The sequence below is a fragment of the Homo sapiens genome, chromosome 3 (assembly GCF_000001405.40).
Source record: "Homo sapiens chromosome 3, GRCh38.p14 Primary Assembly".
In the NCBI taxonomy this organism is placed as follows: Eukaryota; Metazoa; Chordata; class Mammalia; order Primates; family Hominidae; genus Homo; species Homo sapiens.
In genome coordinates, this window is record NC_000003.12 from 191,732,567 (window position 1) to 191,760,292 (window position 27,726).

The 27,726-nt window shown below is 38.0% G+C and overlaps 2 long non-coding RNA genes across 3 annotated transcripts; one reads left to right on the top strand and one right to left on the bottom strand.

The window, feature by feature from the left end:
• Positions 1-16,028: 16,028 nt before the first annotated feature.
• Positions 16,029-20,188, bottom strand: LOC105374275 (uncharacterized). Its single transcript, XR_002959702.2, has 3 exons — positions 19,551-20,188; positions 17,390-17,529; positions 16,029-16,412 (listed from the first exon to the last, which is right to left on the bottom strand). It is a non-coding gene; the product is annotated as an uncharacterized LOC105374275 (long non-coding RNA).
• Positions 20,189-20,501: 313 nt separating this feature from the next.
• Positions 20,502-27,149, top strand: LOC124909473 (uncharacterized). Of its 2 annotated transcripts, none has more exons than XR_007096216.1 (2): positions 20,502-20,769; positions 26,948-27,149. It is a non-coding gene; the product is annotated as an uncharacterized LOC124909473 (long non-coding RNA). The 2 variants fall into 2 exon arrangements; XR_007096217.1 differs by having other exon boundaries at positions 26,987-27,149.
• The last annotated feature ends 577 nt before the right edge of the window (positions 27,150-27,726 follow it).

Sequence of the window (27,726 nt, forward strand, 5' to 3'; positions counted from 1 at the left end):
CCAGGGAAGCCATAGAGACCTACAAAGAGACTTAGACTCCCGCAAAATAATAATGGGAGACTTTAACACCCCACTGCCAATATTAGACAGATCAACGAGACAGGTTAACAAGGATATTCAGGCCTTGAACTCAGCTCTGAACCAGGCAAACCTAATAGATGTCTACAGAACTCTTCACCCCAAATCAACAGAATATACATTCTTCTCAGCACCACGTCACACTTATTCCAAAATTCACTACATATTTGGAAGTAAAGACTCCTCAGCAAATGTAAAACAACAGAAATCAAAACAAACTGTCTCTCAGACCACAGTGCAATCAAGTTAGAACTCAGGATTAAGAAACTCACTCAAAACTGCACAACTACATGGAAATTGAACAACCTTCTCCTGAATAACTACTGGGTAAATAACAAAATGAAGGCAGAAATAAAGATGTTCTTAAAACCAATGAGAACGAATACACAATGTATCAGAATCTCTGGGACACACTTAAAGCAGTGTGTAGAGGGAAATTTATAGCACTAAATGCCTACAAAAGAAAAGAGGAAAGCTCTAAAATTGACACCCTAACATGACAATTAAAAGAACTAGAGAAGAAAGAACAAACAAGTTCAAAAGCTAGCAGAAGGCAAGAAATAACTAAGATCAGAGCAGAACTGAAGTAGATAGAGACACAAAAAACCCTTCAAAAAATCAACGAATCCAGGTGCTGGTTTTTTGAAAAGATCAACAAAATAAATAGACCACTAGCAAGACTAATAAAGAAGAAAAGAGAGAAGAATCAAATAGACACAATAAAAAATGATAAAGGGGATATCACCACCGATCCCACAGAAATACAAACTACCATCAGAGAATACTATAAACACCTCTATACAAATAAACTAGAAAATCTAGAAGAAATGGATAAATTCCTGGACCCATACACCCTCCCAAGACTAAACCAGGAAGAAGTTGAATCTCTGAATAGACCAATAACAGGCTCTGAAATTCAGGCAATAATCATTAGCCTACCAACCAAAAAAAGTCCAGGACAAGACGGAATCACAGCTGAATTCTACGAGAGTTACAAAGAGGAGCTGGTACCATTCCTTCTGAAACTATTCCAATCACTAGAAAAAGAGGGAATCCTCCCTAACTCATTTTATGAGGCCGGCAGCATCCTGATACCAAAGCCTGGCAGAGATACCAGAAAAAAAGAGAATTGTAGGCCAATATCCCTGATGAACATCGATGTGACAATCCTCAATAAAATACTGGCAAACTGAATCCAGCAGCACATCCAAAAGCTTATCCACCACAATCAAATTGGCTTCATCCCCGGGATGCAAGGCTGGTTCAACATACACAAATCAATCAACGTAATCCATCACATAAAAAAAACCAATGACAAAAACCACATGATTTTCTCAATAGATGCAGAAAAGGCCTTTGACAAAACTCAACAGCCCTTTATGCTAAAAACTCTCAATAAACTAAGTATTGATGAGACATATCTCAAAATAATAAGAGCTATTTATGACAAACCCGCAGCCAATATCATACTGAATGGGCAAAAACTGAAAGCATTCCCGTTGAAAACTGGCACAAGACAGGGATGCCCTCTCTCCCCACTCCTGTTCAACATAGTGTTGAAAGTTCTGGCCAGGTCAATCAGGCAAGATAAAAAAAAAAAAGGGTGTTCAATTAGGAAAAGAGGAAGTCAAATTGTCCCTGTTTGCAGATCACATGATTGTATATTTAGAAAACCCCATCGTCTCAGCCCCAAATCTCCTTAAGCTGATAAGCAACTTCAGCAAAGTCTCAGGATACAAAATCAATGTGCAAAAATTACAAACATTCCTATACACCAATAACAGACAAACAGAGAGCTAAATCATGAGTGAACTCCCATTCACAATTACTACAAAGAGAATAAAAACCCTAGGAATACAACTTACAAGGAATGTGAAGGAACTCTTCAAGAAGAACTACATACCACTGCTCAACAAAATAAAAGAGGACACAAACAAATGGAAGAATATTCCATGCTCATGGATAGGAAGAATCAATATCGTGAAAATGGCCATACTGTCCAAAGTAATTTATAGATTCCATGCTATCTCCATCAAGCTACCACTGACTTTCTTCACAGAATTGGAAAAAAACTACTTTAAATTTCATATGGAGCCAAAAAAGAGCCCACATTGCCAAGACAATCCTAAGCAAAAAGAACAGAGCTGGAGGCATCATGCTACTTGACTTCAAACTATACTACAAGGCTCCAGTAACCAAAGCAGCATGGTACTGGTACCAAAACAGAGATAAAGACCAATGGAACAGAGCATAGGCCTCAGAAATAACACCACACATCTACAACCATCTGATCTTTGACAAACCTGACAAAAACGAGAAATGGGAAAGGGATTCCCTATTTAATAAATGGTGCTGGGAAAACTGGCTAGCCATATGTAGAAAGTTGAAACTGGATCCCTTCCTTACACCTTATACAAAAATTAATTCAAGATGGATTTAAGAGTTAAATGTAGACCTAAAACCATAAAAACCCTAGAAGAAAACCTAGGCAATACCATTCAGGACATAGGCATGGGCAAGGACTTCATGACTAAAACACCAAAAGCAATGGCAACAAAAGCCAAAATAGACAAATGGGATCTAACTAAACTAAAGAGCTCCTGCACAGCAAAAGAAACTATCATCAGAGTAAACAGGCAATGTACAGAATGGGAGAAAATTTTTGCAATCTACCCATCTGACAAAGGGCTAATATCCATAATCTACAAAAAACTTAAACAGATTTACAAGAAATAAACAACTCCATCAAAAAGTGGGCAAATTATATGAACAGACACTTCTCAAAAGAAGACATTTATGCAGCCAACAGACACATGAAAAAATGCTCATCATCACTGGTCATCAGAGAAATGCAAATCAAAACCACAGTGAGATACCACCTCACACCAGTTAGAATGGCGTTCATTAAAAAGTCAGGAAACAACACATGCTGGAGTGGATGTGGAGAAATAGGAAGGTTTTTACACCGTTGGTGGGAGTGTAAACTAGTTCAACCATTGTGGAAGACAGTGTGGCGATTCCTCGAGGATCTAGAACTAGAAATACCATTTGACCCAGAAATCCCATTACTGGGTATATACCCAAAGGAGTATAAATCATGCTACTATAAAGACACATGCACACGTATGTTTATTGCAGCACTATTCACAATAGCAAAGACTTGGAACCAACCCAAATGTCGATCAATGATAGACTGGTTAAAGAAAATGTGGCACATATACACCATGGAATACTATGCAGCCATAAAAAAGGATGAATTAGTGTCTTTTGTAGGGACATGGATGAAGCTGGAAACCATAATTCTGAGCAAACTATCACAAGGACAGAAAACCAAATACCGCATATTCGCACTCATAGGTAGGAATTGAACAGTGAGAACACTTGGACACAGGGCAGGGAACATCACACACCAGGGCCTGTCATGGGGTGGGGGGCTAGGGGAGGGATAGCATTAGGAGAAATACCTAATGTAAATAACGAGTTAATGGGTGCAGCAAACAAACATGGCACATGTATACCTATGTAACAAACCTGCATGTTGTGCACATGTACCCTAGAACTTAAAGTATAATAAAAAAAAAAAAAAGAAAAAGTTGTGGGTACAAAGTAGGTGTCTATATTTACGGAGTATATGAAATGTTTTGATACAGGCATACAATGTGAAATAAGCACATCATCGAGAATGGAGTATCCATTGCCTCCAGCATTTATCCTTTGAATTTCAAATAATCTAATTACACTCTGTAAATTATTTTATACTGTCCAATTAAATTATTATTGACTGTAGTCAGCCTACTGTGCTATCAAATAGTAGGTCTTATTCATTCTTTCTAAATATTTTTTTTTTGTCCTCATTATCCATCACCACCTTGCTCCCCCATCCTCCCCTTCCCCATTACTGTTCCCAGCCTCTGGTAACCATCCTTCTACTCTTTATGAGTTCAATTGATTTGATTTTTGGATTCCACAAATAAGTGAGAATATGTGATGTTTGTCTTTTGTGGTTGGCTTATTACACTTCACATAATGATCTTCAGTTCCATCAATGTTGTTGCAAATGACAGGATCTCATTGTTTTTTATGGCTGAATAGTACTCCATTGTATGTATGTACCACATTTTCTTTATCCATTCATCTGTTGATGGACAATTAGGTTGCTTCCAAATCTTATTGTAAACAGTGCTGCAACAAACATAGGTGTGCAGAAAACTCGTTGATATGCCGATTTCTTTCCTTTTGGGCATATGTTCAGCAATGGGATTGCTGGATCATGTAGTAGCTCAATTTTAAGTTTTTTGAGGAACCTCCAAACTGTTCTCCATAGTGCGTGTACTAATTTACATTCCCATTAACAGTATACAAGAGTTCCCTTTTCCTCATATCCTCGCCAGCATTTCTTATTGCCTGTCTTTTGGATATAAGCCATTTTAAGTGGGGTGTGGTGATAGCCACCCCACCATAGGAGTATTGCCAGACTACCACCAGTGTTGCCTGTAGGCCCAAGGTTTCTTAAGTCAGCTTGTCATTAATGTTGCCTGGCTTGGGACTCATCCTTCAGGACAGTAGGCTTCCCTCTGGTCCAGGGCAGGTCAAGAAATGCCACTGAAGAGTCAAGTCCTAGAATTGGAGACCCCAAGAGCCCACTTGGTGCTCTGCCCCACTGTGGCTGTGTTGGTAAGGTGCAAGACAAAGTTTCCTTTACTTTTCCCTCTGCTTTTCTCAAGCAGAAGTTTTGTCCCATAGCTGTTGCAGAACTTTTCCTTAGTTCAGGTAAAGACGAGGTTCTTTGTCCCATGGCCATGAAAATCCAGGCTCACAGACAATTTGAATGGTGAGTAGGACTAGGTTTTATTGGGTGAAAAGGAAAAAAGGTGGCACAGGGACTCTCGCAAGACCAGCGTCCCTGCTAGAGCGCTTCCCACCCGCAGCTTGAATCCCCAGGTTCCACACAGTAAGAGGAGAGGCCAGGCTCCTCACCATGGCAAATGGTGCAAAATTCTGTGGCTCAACCACAGTGCACAGGCTGGTTGAAGATTTTCCAGGGACCCCCTCCAACCTGGCTGTCTCATAGCCACCACAGTTATGAGTTTAATTTGGTTTCAAATGTGTTGAGTCTCACCTGAAGCCAACAAGTCTCTGAGGCTCACCAAGGCCCTTAATGCAGTACTTGGGTATCACTACTGGTTATTCAGGGCCCAAGGGCTCTTCAGTTTGCAGACAATAAATGCTGGCAGGACTAGGTCCTTTTTTTCAAGGTGGCAAGTTCTCTTCTGGTCCAGGGTGTGTCTAGAAACGTCATCTGGGAGCTAGCACCTGAAACAGAGGCTGCATGACTCTGACCAGTGCCCTATCTGGCTGTGGCTGAGCTGGTATCCTAGATGCCAGACAAATCCTCTCCACTCTTCCCTCTCTTCTCCTTAAGTGGAAGGAAGGGGTCTCTTTTGGAGCTGTGAGCTATGCAGCCTGGGGTTAGGGGAAGGGTGATGCCAGCACTCCCTTGGCTGGTGTCTCAGTGTGTTGCATGTCTCCCAAATCCAGTATCTCTGGGCCTAGTTCAGCATGAGGACTGTGAGAAACATGCTCTATCCAAACTCAGAGAATGGACTCAGAGGCAGGAAGAACAGCAAAAGTGAGACTTTTAGTAGTGGTCTTGCAAGATCAGCTGTCCAGTAGGCGGGCACACCCAGGGCAGCTATGGCAGGCAATTTATCTTCTAGTATGCAAGTGTCAAGTACTGTGGGGTTACAATCTTCCCAGATGAAACCTAAGTTTCATTATCTCCCTTATAAGGTTTTGTCCTGGTCCCCTTCTCCACTTAAGTTTTGATTTCTGAATAATGAAACTTTCTTCCCTTTTATGGGCTGACCCCTCTTCTACATGCTGTTTACTTATCATGACTTTCTAGGAGTGTGGGCTGTGCAGTTTGTTACATTCACAGTCTGGCTGCCAGTGCTTAGATTTATCATGCCTTGAAAATGGATCATTTAAAATATTTTCTCACAAATTACCTCCTCTTTTCTATTTACTTCCTTTGGTCTCATTTTCATTTAAATCGTTTTGGTCCTCGAATTGCTCTAGAAGTCATTTACTTTCTTCCTCATAGGAGAATGAGTTTAATTTGGTTTCTAATAGTAGCAGGTTACTTTACTGGTAAGTCATGACATTTGTTTATTACTAGCTGTTTCAATTAATCTCTGTGCTAGTTCCTTTACACAAGGCATAATACAACACTCCACTGCTGTTAAGACTCTGGCCTCAATTATGAGAGATGTAAGAATTGAAGATACCATGCCTTTCCATTTTCCAAACCAACCTTCTAGCCAACCCATAAATGGTATATTACTTTCAGCATTTTCTGCCAGTTTGTTGGCTAGAGTCATCAGTCCTTGTAAAGCTTTTGTGATGGTCCCATCTGGGGCAGTATTCTTGGGAATAGAAGTACAAAATTTCCCACCCAGCATAACATATATGCCCCCTTTACTGCTAGTTAATTACATCTAACACAAACCTGTTTTCCCAGGCCATTCAGCTGGTGGCATCTAATTGGCTAGCCACGCCTTTGAGGGTGTCATGAGTATAACTGATAAATCTCTGTTGATTATGATAGATGTAGTTAATCCAATCAACATTCTTATTAATAGTTGACCACCAGAAAAGTGCTGACTCAAACCCGCAACTATTTGGTATCTGGCCTTAAATTCTTTAGGCACCCCCCTAGGGACTCCTATAGACTCCACATATATACTGGGATCAAAAGAATTTGTTATATCTCTCTGTTTCGGTGGCCATGTATATTTTCGGGTATCTTATGGAATACCAGGGTGAAGAGAATGGCCAGGTGGACCTAAGCCCAAGTCCTGGTCCAATTGGGATGGTAACAAGTTATGGAGGTTCCTTTTCCCACAATACCACCAGTCATCATCCTGGGGTATATGGATCACTGATTAATTGCCATTGCCTCACCGGTGATGTTTAGGATGTGGGTACAAGTCGACATTCTCCCACAGGCTTATTGAACTCTGCCCACTGCCTAGAGAGGGAAGAGGAGTGGTTCATATTCCCTATAGAGAATGAGGGGATTGCTCTAAGATCTGACCTCTGCAATGCAGGAAAGAGCAATGACAGACTCCTACAAGTCTCATTTCCCCATGCATCTTTGTCCTGGTATAGAGCCAACATGCAACACATTCCTTCAGGATCAGTATCCTAGATCAGTATCTAGGGGAAACATAGCCACCTGTGCCTGAGATCATCTCACAGTACATGCACAGCAGCTACTCTTGTTGAGGGCTTGTACCAAAAATTTGACCCATTCAACACAGGCATTCACATCCCCATACCCTGTCTCAATTTCTAAGTTTGCTTTAAATCCTTTACCTCAATTATTTTTACCCTTTTAGGGTCATTATTTGGAAGACTAAAATGTTTATTAGGGTGTGGGTTTGGAGTCATCCCAGGCAAATGGGAGTTGAGTTCTTGATTAGTTTGAGAGCAAATCACCCTAGGGGGTCTTTCCCTGTGATGTCTACCCCAACCCATATACACGAGATGCTACTTTTGGTTCTTAGTCTAGAACAGCTGGATTGTCAATGGTGATCAGTATAGGATTGCATTCTAAATTCTGGCAATTATTTGGAGGGGTGGGGGAGCCCTTAGACAGATGTAGTTTATCCTTCAAGGGTCTCCAGCTCAGAGTTACCCACCCCATGTTTATTATCCAACGCTGAAAGGTATTCATCCATCATACATTATCACAGCTGGGGCATGGTGATGCCCTACTGTAACCTGTATCTGGTTCAGGGCAAATATATTTATCTGCCTGCAAGAGCTGTCTCTGATTTTTTAAATTCCCACAAGGTAAGGCATGGCAGGCATCAAATCTTATAGTTTTGGGTGCTGCTATCTTGGTCACATTAATCATCAACCTGATTGGGTAGGGAGGAGTCCCCTGACAGTTTCCATTTTGACCTTCTGCTCTTTGTATAGTAGCCCATCCCAGACATATTAACTTCCAGAAATGGGGCCAGCCCATGTTTCTTATTAGACTTTTCTCAGAGTTAACTTTAAGAGTCCTCAGGTGACCCGTGCACTTTTCACTGGTCTTTTCCCCTCCCTTATGGGGTCTCTTTTACCAGTCCCTTGGCTCGAGTATAGTGAGTCCACCCCCATTCAGCTGTTTGCATGGCTGTCTCAATGGTCAGGAGCACTTGATAGAGACCTTTCCAGCTTGGGTGGAGCTTGTCTTCTTTCCAAGTCTTAATCAGGACTAAGTCACCAGGCTGGAAGTGGTGAACTGCAAACTCAAGAGGCTGAGTTTGAGTCAGTAGTCCTTTTAACCTAAGAGATGACAGGATGTGGAATATGGCCACTATATAAGAATTGACCCTTGGTTTATAGTAGGGAGATCTGTAGCTCTGCCCAAATACAGGAGCCCATATAATAACTCATATGGGGACAATCCCAAGTCTTCTCGTGGGGCTGTCTTAATCCTAAGGAGTGCTATTGGGAGGCATTCAGTCCAAGGCATTTTAGTTTCTAAGATTAGTTTGGAGATATGTTTTTTAGAGTTTGATTCACTCTTTCTACCTTTCCAGAGAAAGGGGGATGCCAAGGGGTGGGATATTTCCATCTAATTTGTAAACCTTCCATAATTCCCCTTAACACCCTTGAGGTAAAGTGGCTCCTATTGTCTGAATCAACATTTTCTGGGCTGAGCATGGTGGCTCACGCCTGTAATCCCAGTGAGGCAGACAGATCACCTGAGGTTGGGAGTTCGAGACCAGCCTGACCAATATGGAGAAACCCTGTCTCTACTAAAAAAAAAAAAAAAAAAAATAGAAAATTTGCCAGGTGTGCTGGTGCATGCCTGTAATCTCAGCTACTCAGGAGGCTGAGGCAGGATAATTGCTTGAACCTGGGAGGCAGAGGTTGCAGTGAGCTGAGATCACACCATTGCACTCCAGCCCGGCCAACAAGAGTAAAACTCCATCTCAAAAAAAAAAGTTCATCTGGCCAAATCCAGGTACAATCTGTTTTAATATTTTTTGACCACATTTCTGGTGGTGGCTATTGGAAGGAGAAAGGCTCTTCTACTTTGGGCATTTCTGTGAAATCTACTTGAATGGTTTGAAATGGTCTTAGTCCAGGAGGTCTTCCTCCTGTGGTCTGTTTTCTAATCACCTTTTTGTTTATCCTTTGACAAGTTAAAACAACTTTCACATACTTTTTTAGTGAGGGTATAAATTCCTAAGTATTGCATTACACAGAGCCTGGGGTCCCCAGTGACTCCCTTTGTGTAATAGAGACATTAGGTCTCCTATTAGGGGTTTACTCATACTAGCTCTCTCACACTGTCCACCTTTATCTCAGCTGTCTGTTCTGGCTCTGTGGCTCCAGCCACCCCCATGCCTGCAGCTGCACTCCCTGGCCTGCAAGACCAGCTCTTGGTTAAAAGTTAACCTTCAAAAGGCCTTGCCCTACTGGGTCCTTCAGATCTAATCCAGAGTATTTTCTCATCTGATCTCTGAGCCTCTGCAGGAATGCAGAGGGAGTTTCCTCTTTTTCTTGTTGAATCTAGAATGCCTCTGAGACATTTTGTGTCCTAGGAGTGGACTCTTTGATCCCTTTAATTATTAGTTCCCTGAGGTCCTGCATTTGGGCCCAGTCCCTGGGATCATTATTATCCCATTCAGGATCGACATTTGGAAATTTTTATTCAGCTGGAAAGACTCCTTTCCTTGGAGGGTGTTGCCTCTCCCATATGGTCATGGCCACTCTCCTAATCACTCCCCTTTCTTCTCCTATGAACAGGATATTTATGATAGACATTATCTTAGCCCAGGTGTAAAAATTTGGTCCTAGGAATTGGTCCAGCTGGTTTACTAAACTGAGGGGATCTTCTAAGAGTGGTCTCATTTCCTCTTTGAAATTCCTAACTTCGGTACTTGTAAGAGGACTGTTTACAAAGCCAATTTCTCCTTGTTCCATGGGAACTGCCCTAAGTAGGAGCATGCTAGATGCCTGCTGTGTAGAAGGGATAGAGAAGTTCTCAATATCCCTCTTATACTGTTCTAATTATTTTCTTAAATTTGGATGAGGATCTGAAGGAGTTTTTGTTCTCCAGGTCTTTCTTCCTCTAACCCTCCTGTTGCTCCTTTATCTTCTTGTCTCCTATTTTGTGAGATGTAGGTAGGGGGTGAGCATGATGGAGGGATCCCAAGGCTTTTCACTGGGTGAGTGCTCTTTGCTAGGCTTTTTTTCTCCTTCTTTGAGGGGGAACAGGGGGTCTACTTCCTTGATCCAGCAGAGAGCATAACCTGTATCTTCTGGTGAGGATGGGATTTTATCATTCACATAGATAATTAAAGCTTGGTACACCCAATCCTCATCTAAGCCAAACTTAGGCCAAAAGACTGAAGGCTGACGAATGGGTTTTTGGGCCAGATAAAACAGCAATACATCATCATCTTTTGCTTTTCCTTGTCCCTGGTTTGAGGGTTGTCCCTCCAAACCTGCAACATTCTCCCGAAAGGACTATCCAGGGGAATGTCTGAAGGATTCTCTTTAGCTCCCTCTTCCCTTTGTCCCCTAGGCCTAGAATTCCTGTTTCCCATTGTCAGTCAGTCTCTGTGTCTGAGCTTTTCCCTGTGTACTCCCCCACCCCCCACTGGAGGTTTCTTGCACACCCCGATAATCACTTCATACATCTCCAGCTGTTTCCCCCACGGGAGAACAGAACTGCGAATTGGGACTCCGCATTCACTTTGTATCTTGGATACGTCTCAGTCACACACACTCAACCTGCAAAAATGCCCAACTATTAAGGAAGTACTTATAGTCCACTTTTCCTTCCTCAGCTCATGCACGAGGTTGCCTTGTTCCCACAGGGCCTGCTTTTTTCCCTTTGTTGCCTCTATTGCCTCCTGAATAACAGTCTCCGGTTTGTCTATGGCCTCCGCGGGGAGCCGGGATGCCCAGACAGAGCAGGCCACCTAAATCGGGTGGAATGTGTCTCCCCTCTCAGCCAGAGTCCCACTCCATGCAGGCACAGAGATCCTGAACGGGACCTCAGATTTGTGAGAAACATGTTCACTCATCCAAACCCAAAGAATGGACTCAGAGATACAAAGAACAGCAAAAGTGAGACTTTTAATAGCGGTCTTGCAAGATCTGGTGTCTGACAGGCACACCTGTAACAGCTACAGCAGGTAATTTATCTCCTAACATGCAAATCCTTCCCCCAGTTCCTCATTGGTCGAGTATTATGGGGTTACAATCTTCCCAGACGTTGCCTAAGCTTAATTATTCCCCTTATAAGGTCATACCCCAGTCCCTTTTCCCACTTAAGTTTCGACTTCCCAATAACTAAACTTTCTTCCCTTTTATGGGCTGACCCCTCCTCTAAATTACGTTCATTTATCATGGCTTTCTAGAAGAATGAGCTGTGTGGCTTGTTACATCTGCAGGCTGGCTCCCAGTGCTTAGATTTATCATGCCTGAAAATGGACCATTTAAAATGCCTTCTCACAGGACTCACCTAAGAGTTGCAGTCCCTATGACAGATTGCCTTTCAAGTTTACTTGGAGACACAGAGTGCTTGCAGCAATGGAGGTGAGGTTTGAAGGCTCTCAAGTTTGGACCACTAGGATTGGTAATTCCCCTCTGGCTAGGGCTAGTTTAAATGCTCCCTTTGTGGGCATGGGTGGGTGACAGCTAAATTTGGGCCAGTTTTCCTCTCTGTTCTAACAGGACAGCACTGAGTTCAATGCCTCACAATTGCTGCATTCTCCCTCCCTCAGTGCCCAGAGGCACTCCCCACAGCTGCTAATGCCTTGGATGGAGGACGGGTGGCATCCGTGATCCAGGATTTTTTTTCTATCTCTTCGGCGCTTCTTTCAGTGATATGAAGTTAAAACCAGGTACTATGATTCCTCACCTTATTTTTGATTCTTATGATGGTCTTTATTCTGTGTAGATGTTGATTTGGTGTCCTTGGGGTCGGAGTGAGTGGGAGGATTGGGGGAGCTTTCTATTCTGCCATCTTGCCCCACCACCTGTTAGTACTTCTCATAGTGCGCTTACCTTATCCTGTGATAAACTCATTTGTATACGTGCCTTAATTTTCTTATTAAATTATAACATCTTTCTGATGATGATTATTCATAGTGTTTAATCCCTTTAGTGTCTAATACACCTAAACTACTAAGCAAGTTTTATTATTCACATTGAATAATTCAAAGTCACACAGTTAGTAAAGAAAGAATTCCTAGAACCAGTGCTAGAATAGGAATCTTAGTTCAACATTTTCTCTTCAGTAATCATTGTCTCTCAAACTTTCATGTGCCTTGTCCTTTATCTTATCTGCATAAACAGAATGTTTTGTCTGTATATACAAATGCTGAACACAGCACCCTGGAGTTTTCTTGGCTAGATAAGGAGAGACAGAATAGAATAGGAGAAATGGTTATGTTAACATTTTTCTTTTTGCAAACTGCCAACCTTTATCCCTTACCTAGAAACTGGGCATTCTTTATAGACTAGGATTTTATACATTTTAAGGAGACTTTTCTTTTCTTTTCTTCTCTCTTTTTTTTTTTTTTTTTTTTGGTGAATGAAGATTTAGGCTTATGTAATGGTCTTTTCAAATCTTTTTTATCTGTAATCTGGGCTAAGCAATCTAGCACTCTGTTCTATTAAATGCTTCAGTAAGCAGTCCCACTCAAGTCCCAGGAAATCCCAATGTGTTTGTTAGATGCCACCTTAACTTACCAACCTGCCTTTAGCCTAAAGGCTATTTTTTCTTTATCTTTGTAGTTGCCCTGCTGCTGGGATTCTATTTTTACCTTCTAGAGAAGAATTTCTCATTTTATTGGAGTGATTTTCCTTGCACGTGTGGCTGACACAGTAAAACTTTCAAATTCCTAACAAGTTGGTCTTCTGGGACTGAACAAAAATGGGTTGAAGGGGGCAGTGGTGGAAGTAAAAATCATCCTTTGCTCTCACCGAAGTAGAGACAGCAGTGGCGTGTTATCCTAAACCTGGAACTGGGATCAGAAGATATGAATTCAAGGCACTGGCTCTGCAACCATTGTGCTTGTTGACATTGTGAAAATTATATAATCTCTCAGCCTCAGTTACCTTAGACACAAAGGGGAATAAGTATGACTTATTCTGTGCTATTTCTGAAGATAAAATAAATATATTTTGTGATTTGTAAAGAATAATACCAATTATTACCAAGAGTACTCACACAATTCATTTTTGTGTGTATGTAAATATAAAATCATCATCATTCTTTTTCCAGAGAAGACTGAAGAACAGGTAGGCTCCATCCCTGACTTGAGATCAAGCAGCAGGTTAGCCAAACCCAAAGATTAGAATTCAATAGTCTATGATTCCCACTAGGTTCATTAATTCTTAACTGCGGCATGAGCCAGTTTCTCTACAGAATTACTGCCAATAGAACATGATTCACTTCTTAATTGTAATTTCCCTGCATTTTCTTATAATTAAGTGGGGAGGTTTTAGGGACTTTTAGTCACTTTTCTAAGAATATCTTAAACTTTAAACTTGCACTATTTTGACTCTCATTATACCTAGCATTCAAGTCTCCTGATTAATTTGTTGATGAATTTGGCTTCCAAGTTTGAGGATGATGTCTAGCATCCACCATATGTTTATTAACTTCTTCACTGAGCAGGAGGCTATTTTGAAGACTACTTTTTATTTTATTAAGTTCCAGGATACATGTGCAGGATGTGCAGGTTTGTTACATAGATAAATGTGTGCCATGGTGGTTTGCTGCACCTATTAACCCATCACCTAGGGATTAAGCCCCACATGCATTAGATATTCATCCTGATTTTCTCCCTCCCCTCCCCTTCAGGCCCAGTGTGTGTTGCTCCCCTCCCTGTGTCCATGTGTTCTCATTGTTCAGCATCCACTCAGGAGTGAGAACATACAGTGTTTGATTTTTTGTTCCTGCATTAGTTTGCTGAAAATAATGGCTTTCATCTCCATTCATGTAAAGGACATGATATTCCTTTATATGGCTGCACAGTATTTAATGGTGTATATATACAACATTTTCTTTATCTGGTCTGTCATTGATGGGCATTTGAGTTGATTCCATATCTTTGCTATCGTGAACAGTGCTGCAATGAATATACGCATGCATCTATCTTTATAATAGAATAATATATGTTCCTTTGGGCATATATCCAGTAATGGAATTGCTGGGTCAAATGGTATTTCTGGTTCCAGGTCTAAGGAATCACCACACTGTCTTTCACAATGGTGTAACTAATTTACATTCCCACCAACAGTGAAAAAGCATTCCTACCTCTCTATAGCCTCAACGGCATCTGTTGTTTCTTGACTTTTTTAATAATGGCCATCCTGACTGGCATGAGATGGCATCTCATTGTAGATTTGATTTGCATTTCTCTAATGACCTGTGATGTTGAGGTTTTTTTTCATGTTTTTTGGCTGTATATATGTCTTCTTTTCTGTTCAGGTCCTTTGCCCACTTTTTTATGTCATTTATTTCCTTGTAAATTTGTTTACATTTTTGTAGATTCTGGATATTAAACTTTTGTCAGATGGATAGATTGCAAAGATTTTCTCCCATTCCTTAAGTTGTCTGCTCACTCTGATGATAGTTGCTTTTGCGTACGAAGCTCTTTAGTTTAAATCGGTCTCATTCATTAATTTTTGCTTTTGTTGCAATTGCTTTTGATGTTTTTGTCATTAAGTCTTTGCCTGTGCCTATGTCCCGAATGGTATTGCCTAGATTTTCTTATAGGGTTTTTATAGTTTTGGGTTTTACATTTAAGTCTTTAATCCATCTTGGGGTAGTTTTTGTATAAGGTGTAAGGAAGGGGTCCAGTTTCAATTTTATGCATATGGATAGCCAGCTTTCCCAGCACCACTTATTAAATAGGGAATCCTTTCCCCATTGCTTGTTTTTGTCAGGTTTGTTGAAGATCAAATGGTTGTAGATTTGTGGTCTATGCCTTAATCCAGGACGGGTGCTAAACTATTGTGGGACAACTGTAAGGCTGTTCTTTTCTTCATTTCCACACCTAAGAACTATGGATTTTAACAATCCATAGTGATCAGACTTATTTATGTGATGCCCTTTGTTAAAGGATAGCAACATGTCCTTTACCAAAAAATCAAAAGCAAAAACATATAAAACCACCACCACCAAGGATTCAAAAGTAAAAGACCACCTGAAGGGACTTACTTCAAAATAATCAAATTGGCAGAGTGAGAGGCCATTGTGAATGGAGCAGTTGAAAAATGGGCTAGTGATAAAGCAAGATTGGCCAGGAGGTGATAATTTATGATCTGGCTTATGAATATATGGAATTCTCATATAATTCTGCCTAACTTTTACTAATAACAAATGCTAAAGAATCAATTTGATAATAAAAGTTACAAAACATTTTTTATAAAACCTATAAAAAGAACATTGATATTATTATGAATGATACATTTTTGATCTTAAGAATGCCTGTGCTTATTTGTCAAAATGGAAAGACTTTCAGCAGTTTTAAATTGCATTTCAGATGGGAGAGCCACTTAATCTTTGATAGATTTGATAAATCATAAAGAAGATCTTACATACAATTAAAAACTTAAAAGTTGACAGGTATTCCTATACCTACATCTTTTTGCTCAGGAATATTCTTGAATAGTGACCTACCTTGGTCCTGGTATTTGGATGTAAATATATCATTTTACTTCTGAGACCCATCTTCCTGAGGGATATTAAGTGTCCACTATTTGTAGCATTTGCAGCTAAAAAGAGTATTACATAATTTAAGCTACTAATGGATCAACATGCCTTAGGATTGGATTCTGGGCTTAGAATTTTAATAATATCTTGTCTTTATTTTAAGACTATTTCTTTTTGCAAGAGTGGTAAAATGAGCTCTAAAAACATATTTAACTAGCTGCAATTTTTTTATTAAAGAGAATCTTGGGAATTTTGACAGGTGTTATTTTCATAGTCCCTCTTTATCAGTCACATTGATCCATCTTTTTCTGTGTCCTTTTCTGTAACTTTCACATCAATTATTTTGCAAGATGTTTGATGACAATCAAAAGTTCCATGTGTGCTATAATAAATTCTCAAGTAGAAGAATGAACAGAATTGGAAGTATCACTCTTCAGGATAAATATGAAATGTCCGTGCCTTACCTTGTTGACATGGTGCATAAAACGTCTTGAGAGATAGTGTCCCCAGAAGGAAGGTTCAAATATGATTATCATGTAATGTACTATACAAGGTTATAGCAGATACTTTATATAAATACATCAGTGAAATACTGTCAAAAAAGACACAGATTAAACATTATCGAATTGGCACCAACGTCAACATTTTTGCCTGGAGTTTTATATATAAAATACTTTAAAAAAATAAAAGTCAACAAGTTTATAATAAGAGATTTTTGTTTTCTATAAGAAATCTTACATATTTAGTCATTTCCCTTTCATCCAAAAAGATGTAATATTCATATTGCAGGAGATACATGATGGTTAGTCGTTAACTTTTGAAATTTACTAAGAATTACAAATATTCAAATGATTTGAGATGAATTGAGTCGCCACATATTTCAAATAGCTTTATAAACTATAAATTCATGATTTACATCACAAAGGTCAAACACAACATTTAGTACCTCAAAAAATTAGTACTTATTTGAGTTAGGTGGTCAAGCAATAATCTAACCCGGTTATAAAAGTTAATTCTGAACTGAAAGTGAGAAGTGCCCAGTGTCCAAGAAACATAAGTCTTAACATTCTGGGAATGTTCAGCTCGAAAGGCCTCCTAGCAAGTGACTTTCCATTAGGGATGTGTAGAGTAATTGGGGATCTGCTCTTACTGGGAATTCAGAATAAGTTGGTGATCTTCAAATAAAAGCTTTGTATATGAGTTGCTAAACTACCATATTTGGGTAAAAAGAGAAACTATCTTGGGACAAAAGTGAAAAGAACAAAAATGAAAAGGACTCTAGCTATAAAGCTGATGTTCAGAACTTTCATGAAATTCGTGTAATTGATCCACACATTTATTGATTCAGAATGTAGAGTAAATCAGAGGCAAAATTTCTGGTTCTTATTAGTTCAGTCAAACATAGAAAAAAGAAAAGAAAGAAAAAGGAAGAAGGAAGAATGGAAAGAAGAAAGGAAAGAAGTAGGATGAAAGAGAGAGACAGAGAAAGAACATTAAATTTGTAAAGTAATAAAGAAGATGTATTCAAAAATAAAAGAAAAATAAACCATCTTACATAGAGAGTCATACCTAGATTTTGCTATTTAATTCCTCAGCATAAATATAGCAGAGTCACATCACTCGTGCATTTAATTTATAAACTGCCTTTAGAGTTTACAGAAGGTCCAACCCCAACATCTAGGCTGTAAATATGTTTTCAAGTTCAATTTCTGCAAAAAAATTAAATAGGGTAGTCATAATTCATAATATAGTAACCATTTCAAATAAAATGTTATATTCTACATTGATTACAACCTTCTAATTCCTAAGAAATCTATTAGGTTGTATACAAAATTATAAGTAGGATTTGGTTTAATATACAGAATAATCTTCTATAATATTAGTTGTGTTGCATGGCAATGAAGATAATGAACTACCTTGGAAGTTGTGAGATTGCTGCTTTTAGAGTTACGAATATAGACTGAAAAATTACTTCATAGAGTGTGTGGTTGGAGGACTTTCTACAATAGGTACATGGAACTTTCCTCCAAGGTCACTTCACATCAATACTTTCGTGGTTATATAAAATTCAGAAAAATATCACAACTCAACCACAATTACAATGTAAAATTCAGCAATTTTTCCTCCTTGTGCCTTACAAGCTTATAACACAGCATTCTGCTCATTAATGCAAAAAGTAGTACTAAGATTTAATCTTAAACTATCCCCAGGACAGTCCAGTTTGTTCTGATTTTGAGGACTTTAAGTTCTTAAAGAGGACTAAAGATATTTAATTGTAATTAGAAAACCAGTCATAGTCTAAAAATTTCTAATGATTGAGTAAAAGTTTAAAAGTCCAACTCATCACAATTTGCGGGCTGAGAAGCCATTTGGTTCACAGAAGTTTGCTTGCAAATGGCACATATGGCAACACAATCTCAATATTTTATTGCAGAAAAGTTATGTTAATTGCAAAAGCTAAGTCTACTGAGAGAGTTAATTAAGAAAACGTGGGATTATGTGCTGTGTCTTCAGACTAGGTCTGAGGGCTCAGAATTGTCACTGAGTGCAAAACTAAGCGAAATGGATCAATATTCAATTTCACAAAGATAATGCAATACCTTGGAAGAAAAAAAAACCATGTTTCTCAGATACTTTCCAAAATATAAAATTTTGGGATACAGAATCAAACCTTGAAAAGTAAAACCACTAAAAAGATTTTTAGAGACAGCTACTGGATTAAGGAGAACTTCACTGAAACAGCTGATCACCCCCAACATTGCCAGGTCATTCTGGGTTCCTCAGCCTCTCCCATAATACTGTAGACACTAAATATAAAGCTGCAGACTACTGACCACCAGCCCACTGATAAATTTCCTCTCAAAATGAAACAGAGAAAGATTATTATAGGAAGCCAAATTCTTTCTTCTTTTATTCCAGATACAAAATTAAAGAAAGGTCAATAATTTGGCTGACATTTAAAAATTAAATCATTTCAAATAAAATTGGAACTTTTTATGGTGAGGTTAAATAAATGGCATAAGATAGGGGATCATATGCATTTAAATATTTTTCAGATTTAAGAGGGAACAGAAGATAGTCGCAGCAAGGTTCTTAGGTTAACATTCACAGTGAGCAAGCACAGTTTAAAACTTAGCCACATAATCTAGAATTTCAGGACTATAAAAAACTTGAGAGATTGGCTGCTCTAATTTTCCATCTAATGCCTGATCTTTCCCACAGAACCCTGATAAACTGATGGCCAATTTCAACATGTAATGATCTAGAGCTCTATATGCTCCAAAGTAGTAGTTTAACCTTAGTGAATCTTTTTTTTTTTTATTTTTTCCGATTTAATCAGATCTATTTTTCTGGAATTTTTATCCATTATTTATAATTTCATATTTAAAATCTAGTACATTGAATCCAATTCTTTTTCTACCTCCTAGCCTTTCCAGTCTTTTTTTTTTTCCAATGATAAGACCCGTCAGTTTATTCAACTTTTCATCGTGTATGTTGTGCTTTTGCATGTTTGTCTCCACTCTGGTAGATTTTCTCAGGAGACAATCTGAATTTATCTTTCTGGGTTTTCAGCATCCCACTTAAAGAAGGCTAGCCATAACTTAACACAACTCTCTGACCAGTATAAATTGTGTCTTAGTCCCAATATTCTAGATCTCAGAATTCTATGACAGTGGCCATGTCTCATTTAAAACAAAGATGATACAACGGGTTCACCAAATCCCATTACCTTTTTCTCTCCTTTGCACATAGCTAGACTACATTTCTGATTCCTCTGCAGTTAGTTGGGACCATGCAATGGAGTTCTGGCCAATGGAACATATGTGGAAGTCATATATCCACTTCTAGGTCTGGCCTAAAGTTCCTGAAACTATTCTCATGAGATTCTTTGTGTACTCTTTCTCATCCCTCATCTCCTGGCTTATTGGAAAGCATTCAGTGGAGAACTCAAAGACCTAAGGGATGGAAAAAATTAATAAATGAAATGAGTCTAAGTCCCTAAATAAAGATAGAGAAGAGATTTCCCAACGCTCTCCCTGCCAGCATTAGAATATTATTGGAGTAAGAAATGCACTGTTATTGTGTTAAGCCACTGAAAATTTGGATATGCTTGTGAAATTTGAAATCAGATCATCTCGGCAAAGTGCCCACACCTTCACATATTTGGTAGGGAAAAACAACTGGAAAATAATTATGACAGTATTACATGTGATATACTAGTTGATGAACCATTTTTTCTTCACTTCTTAACCTTTGTTGATGTCTCAAGTGATAAGAGTAAATTATGCTTTAGTCCTTGATGTTAACTAGAGTGATGTCAACATGTTGAGTGTCATGACATACTTTCTAATATTAGAATTTGGGGCAGGACCCACTTGAAGACCCTAGTTAGCACCAAACAAGTACCTGCTGAGAACTAACTGAACTGTTGGATATCTTTTTCTTGATTTTGTTTTCTAAAAATTGAAAATTAAAAAATGATATTTCCTATCTCTTTATTGAATAAATCACTTTACATCACTTTTATGGTAAGATGAAGTAGACCCAATCTAAATGTAACGAATAGTATAAATTTTGGCAATATTATATATATATGTGTGTGTGTGTATATATACATGTTTGTCTCTGTGCATACGTGTACACACACACACACACACACACACACACACATATATGTTTCTCAAAGGTTGCTCAAAGGAGGCAAACAGAACAACTAGAACGTTGTAATTATTTTGTAACAAGTGATTTTACCTAACTTCTATGACGTTGGATAAATCTATGACCTGCCATATTCTCTCCAAAAAATAGAAGGGTTAATTTCAGCTAGCAAACAAGCTCAGCCAGGTCCTGTATCTCATCCACCCCATCAGTAATATCTCACATCATTCCAGCAATCTCAAGAATTACTCCAACTGAGTCACATTCTGGAAATGTGTTTGGACTATTCAGTAAGTAGTCTGACTTTGATGGATTGATACTAAAATTAAAGTCCTCTGAGATCTCCAATGTTATATCACACTACACTTGGCCACATCTCGTCGTGCATTTCTTCTCTCCGTTTAAATAACCATGCCCAAACCACAACAAATTACTCACTCCACTTTTGGCTGTCTCCTCTCACCTCCCTGTTTTGGCTTCTGCTTTTATCTCCTTAGAATACCCCTCATCTTGCCCAATCTACTTTATAAAATTCTGTAGATTTTCCAGTGCTATCACAAGTGCCTGTTCTTTTGTGAATTCTTATGTCTTCCCCAGTTAGAAATATTTTTTACTTTTTTGGCATATTCAGGTTCTTTTGTTTGTACACAGCAGTACTTAGAGTAGCTTTTCATGTGCCAGTTTATCATTACTGGATCATAACGTATGCAGGAGCAGGAATCACATTTCATTCTTCTTCTTTATATGGCCAAAGAGAGTTGTATATAAATGTGCTCAATATATGTATAATGAAACTAGTGAATGCATGGATAGTTATGGACGTGTCAGAGCATGTGTTTCAAGGAATCTCCCAATTGCATTTTAGAACTATTTCAAAACTTCAAGGAAAAAATAAAAAATAAAAATGAGTTGATCTGTAGAAATGATTTAGAATGACTGAAAAGAACTGAATGCATATTTTGACAGCAAGTTTTTTTCCTATATATATATATATATATATATATATATATATATATATATAAAAGTAAATGCTTTATGTCAATGCTCAGTGTGTTCTTAATCTGGAATTCTAAAATTACCAGAAAAAAAGTTTAAACTGAAATAGAAGAAACTGAAAAACAATCTATTTAGTTTTTTTAATTAGAAATTGCTTTTATTGAATAGTCAATTCTGACATTCAAACATTTAAGATGCAAACCACTTCTTCATATTCCTCCACATTTTTCTCTCTTTGCATAATTACAAATTTTGTATAAATAGATTTAGGGAAAGGTTAACCATTAGAATTAGAGGATAATTCAATAATAATAGTTATATTTGGATAAAATGATGTCACATACCTGATTCAGTGAGGATATTGTACTGCATATCAAAAGAGCATAGAGAAAATACAGTTTGAGTTTAATGAAATTGAACAACAAGAAGCCAAAAAATTATAAGACATTTTCTACTTAAATATGCTGTTCAAGCTACAAATGATAACTAAAATAGCAAATTGCAAGAAACGTGATTATAAGGAGAGTTTTGATGTTTTCATCCAAAAGAAAGAAACAGAAAATGATAAAATATATAAAAAAGTTGTCTCTATGAGCTTGAAGGTGAAAAGAAAGATAAATACCAACAAAACAAGTTACTAATTTAATTCAAAGTTAAATTCAAGTACATAATGTATACTTGAGTATGTGGGTATGTTTGTGTGTGTGTGTGTGTGTGTGTGTGTGTGTGTGTGTGTCTGTAGCTCAGTTTGACAAAATATAATAGTTTATATACACACTGAAATTTACTTAATGAGTAAAATAGTCACTCTTCAAAAATAAATGACATGTACGGAAAACACGTTTGAGACCAAAAAGTAAACCCAAAAATATGTTTCCCACATTAGAAAATGCATTATTTTATAGAAACTTGTCTAAGTATTGATTCCCTAAAAAGCTGACTTTGGGCTGGGTGTGGTGGCTCACGCCTGCAATCCCAGCACTTTGGGAGGCTGAGGTGGGTGGATCACAAGGTCAAGAGATCGAGACCAGCCTGGCCAACATGGTGAAACCCCATCTCTACTAAAAATACAAAAATTAGCTGGGCATGGTGGCGTGCACCTGTAGTCCCAGCTACCCAGGAGGCTGAGGCAGGAGAATCACTTGAACCCAGGAGGCAGAGGTTGAAGTCAGCCAAGATCTCACCATGCACTGCACTCCAGCCTGGCGACAGAGTGAGACTCCATTAAAAAAAAAATTTAAAAATTTAAAAAAAAACTGACTTTGAGACAAGAATTTGGGTACAAGTAGCTTATGTGCAAGGTGATCCCAGGAAGCACTAAAAGAAAGTGGAGGTTAGTCAGGAAAGGCAGGAAAGCAAAGGAAAGACAACAAAGAATGCAGTCATGCGTCAGTTACCATGGTGGTTGACCGAGGCTTATTTTCTCAGCGACCCACGAGAAATTGAATGTAAAAACATATCTCAGAACTCTACCAATGAAGGGCAAATATTCTAGGGCATTTGCCCACTCTATTAGGCCATTCTTGCATTGCTATGAAGAACCTGACACTGGATAATTTATAAAGAAAAGAGGTTTAATTGGCTAACAGTTCTTCAGGCTTTACAGGAAGCATGGTGCTGGCATCTGCTCAGCTTTGGTTGAAGGCTCAGGGAGGCTTCAATCCTGGCAGGCAAAGCAGGAGCAGAAACATCACATGGCCAGAGTGGGAGCAAGAGAGAGGGGAGGGGAGGTGCCACACACGTTTAAACGACCAGATCTTGTAAGAACTCACTCGCTATCATGAAGACAGCACCAAGTCATTAGGGATCCACCCCCATGACCAAAACATTTCCCACCAGGCCCCACCTCCAGCACTGGGGATTACAATTCAACAGGAGATTTTGGCAGGGACAAATATTCAAACTTTGTTACCCACCAACTTCTAGCCCTCAATGACTGTAGGCTAGTCTGTGGGCATTAAATCTCTAGCAGACTTCTATCTGAGCATATTCTCATGTCTTTAGACAAAAAGCCATCAGCTTGTGGAGTACTGTCTGTAGAAGGACTTTGTGAAGGGAGATGTCTAAGGGAATACAGCTTAGACGTTTGCTACAGAGCATGTGGAATTTTCTGTTTTCCTAAATTCAATCTAAATAGACATTCTAAGACATTAAAATCCTACCATTCATGGTATCCATAAGGAATTTTACCTACGTATCAATGTGTTTATGTATCTGCCTACTTACATTAATTGGTGAATATATACTTAATACGTTGTTTCCACAGTTTTAAACAATGAGCATTAAATATAAGCTAAAACATCTTCCCATTTAACAGTCGTGTATAGCTCACAAATGGAATTGATTCTTTTTCCATTTCTGATTGCTTAATACATATTTTTCCTGGAATAAGCTTTACTCACATGAGTAAAATAACCCAAGATGAGAACTTTACCAACAAAAAACCGAAATGAAAGAATGATTTTTCAGGACATTTGCCAACCAAAAAAAGAAATAGAAAACTGCTTCTGTGAAAACATCTGATTCAACATATGACAATCTATATTATAATGTTAGGGTTAGGAGCACATGCATATGAAATAATCATAAATCATGCATTCATTTATCTTAACCAAAGGAAGTAATGCCTATATACATACATAATTTAAATATATACTCTTTTTCTGTACTTGATATGTTTCCTACATTTATTTTTCCCTTACTATCATTTATTTCAAGTGAATATATTATCCATATATACAAACTATTGGAAGCATATTTAATTTATTTAATTCTGCAATTATTTATTAGAGTTCACTATGTGTCAGGCAATGCTTTGTAGGAGCTAGGGATTTATGGCAAATAAGTCATAATACCTGTCTTAAAGAATTCACAGTTTTTGAATAGATTTACATGTAGCATTGCTCTAAATTAAAGAAGAATATATCATTAGAGGTGTAGACGTAATGTACCGTCGGAACACAAACAATGGGGAGAGAAGTAGTTAGTCATGACTGGAGATTCACCAGAGGATCACAGAGGAGGTAGTATTCCATTTGAACCATGAAAAATAGGTGAAACTTCAATGCACAGAGATGAAGGTAGAAGTGGGGATGTACCAAAGAGACCAAATAGAATGAATGAAGGCTTGGAGATAGTAATAGTTCATAGGCTTCTTCAGAGAATGAAGAGTGTTGGGAATGCTTTACATATAGGCGCCTCAGTTGGTACGGTGAAATACTGCACCAGAAAGGTAAGTTGAGTCTAGATTTTGGAAAACATTGCATGGACTCACAAGGCAGTTGGGCTTCATTCTATCAGCTATGGTGAGAAATAAAAAAGTTTTGATGAAATAAATCCCACAATCAAAACTATGTTTTATAGAGAGAAGTAACTGTGTAACTAGTCTTTACGGAAATTACTCATCTATGTTTACGCAAAATAGATCAGTGATTAGGGAGAGAAAAAAATTTGGAAACAGGTAGACCTACTTCTAAAAATGATAGACTGCTGTAGTTATCCATGTTAGAGGAAAAAAGATCCCCAACCATAGCAGTGGCAGTGGGAATTTAAAAAGGAAAGGCATTTCAGAGGTAAAACTGACAGCATCTTATGAACAATAAGATTTCGGAGCAGTGAGAGTGACAGCAGCTAAAGATAGATCTGTGGTTTACATTAGTGGACATCATTGGTGCTCTGCCGCATCCCCCTCTGATCCCTTTACCGGGTTAGTATATGCTTGCCCCAGCACCTGCATGCCTTTGTACTTTCTTTCCTCTTTGCGGGACACCAGAAAGCTCTAAATGCTGGAAACAAATGTCTCTATCACACAACCTACAGAATAACTGGTGTGAGAGTAGAGAAGTTTAGCTTCCTTGTGTTTAACTGGGAAAAACATTGGAGGATAATTTATTTTCCTGATATCCTGGGTGGGAAGAAGTTGAGGTCGGTACTAAAATTGCATTCTTGCTGGATCCTACCATTTCTTTGTATTGCATGCCCCACTCCCTTACTCATTTGTTTCTGGAATTGCTTCTTTAACAAATTACTTGCACATGGAATCCTCATTGGAGTGACTATTTCCAGGATACTCATCTTGAGAGGGGTATGGAGATTGAAGGTTTTGAAAAAATTAACTAAAAAAGGGAAAAATAGGTTATATCCCTTTGACTCACTTTATTCTAAACTCCAAGAAATGCCTCCTACTGATATATTTTACTTCAGTAAAAACAAATTACCTCTTGTTGGAATTTAAAGTAAAAGATAAGCAAAAGCAAAGGTGAATATCTGTATTATGTGAGTGTCATGTGTGGTGGGAGGACATGACAAAGAATTCTTTTTAAAATCATAAATGGTAATAATATCTTTAAGAGCAATGTACTAATTCTTCAAGTATTCAAGGCAGTTGGAATATGAGTTTCGAACATTTTGTAGGTATTTTAAATTATCTAAGTGACATTAAAATTTTAAATTATCTAAGTGACATTAAAAAAAATTAAATTATCTAAGTGACATTAAAAAGGAATGCAAGAAGAAGGAAGAAAAAAATGCCGGCCAATACATTTGAACATAAAATATTTAACATGGAAAATACCATTTTATCTCTGATTCCTTGAGAGTTGGCATAGTAACTGATGACTTTGGCAGTATTAATTTCATGCCACTCTAAGGAATATAGATTAGTTTTTCTCTCCTCCAAATGGGCCTAATTGTCCTACTCTTTGATTCGTTACATCTACCACTAAATTTTTCAAATATTTTGCCACTTTTACAATCAAATTATCATATTTTATGTATTTTATTGTTAGAAACTTCAGTTTAATATTCTGTTTCTAATCCTTTATGAGCTGGAAAACCAAATATTCAAGACTTTTAACATTACATATCAAGTAAAACAAAATATTTCTACTCTAGAGTCCAGGATGGTATCTTGGTAAACTCTTGAGGTAAACCATGTTAAAAAGTTTCTAGCCGGCTTTAATTTTTAAATATCTATTTTCTTTTCAGTTATTTGATTTGTTCGATTTATATCTGTAAGTCCAGAATGTGTCACAATGGCTTACAGTGAACAGACGACCTTTAATTTTAAGTTGAATGAGTTCCAAATCAAGGTGGGGGGCATTACAATGAGTTCTATTTTAAGTCATAGATGGCAACAATATCTAACTAGTTTCTCTTCATACAGCAAAGTAGTAAAATCTTAGTCGTTCACTCTATCATATCTTAATGTGCTTTCTGGTCACTTAGCACTATAGTAGCCTGAAGGTCAAAAATTGCTATGTAATAAAGTCACTATCTCCACTCTCTCTCCTCTTTTTCTCTCTTGAACCCATTTATGTAAGCCTTTCATTTTCCTTACAGTAAAACTGCTCTTGTCATGGTCACTACTAATACCTCTGTTAGTAATGCACTGATCTTCATAAAATTTGATATATCCAAACATTTGAGACAATTGGTCACCCTTTTCTTGAAACAATTTCTTTCATTGGCCAGGCGTGGCTCTCATGATGACCTTAGTGTTCTCATAATTAGAGATACTGAAGACCTTACCTTCTCTGCCATGTGAGGATACAGGATGAAGGTGTCACCTGCAAGCCAGGAAGAAAGTCCTCATGAAGACCTGACCATATGGCATCCTGATGTTGGGCTTCTGGCCTCCAAAATCATGATAAATAAATTTCTGCTGTCTACAAAACAGGCTCAGTTTAATGTTTGTATATTGCACCTTGTTATATTATCTCATTAACAATGAGGAAAACCTGTGACTTCTGAAATTGATTACCACAATGTAATCTTACATTTGATTCAGGATAAAAGCAGAATATTAAATTTCAGGTTATGAAAAAGCAAAAACAAACAACATGAAAAATAGAGCCCTCAAAATGGTCTGTAAGGTTCTCCGGCGTTTTTGTCCCTATCATTGGTCCATATCATCTGTTATTTTTCCTTCTGTTCTAGCAACTTTGGGCTCTTTGCAATTCAGAGTGTGAGCATGTGTTCCCTCTTCCTGGAACACTTTTCTTTGTATGAACATATGGGTTATTTTCTTCACTTTTGGTTTCACTCAAATTTCATCTGATGATGAATGTTTAATGATAACTTCTCCCCTCCACACTTTCTAAGTTTCATATCCCATTTCCCCTATATGCATTGTATTTATTGTCACCATGTGGCACACATATTTACTTATAGATTTGCTTATTATTTGCTCTCTTAATTAGAATGGAAACACTTTAAGGGCAAGAACTATGTCATTTTACTCATTGCTGTAT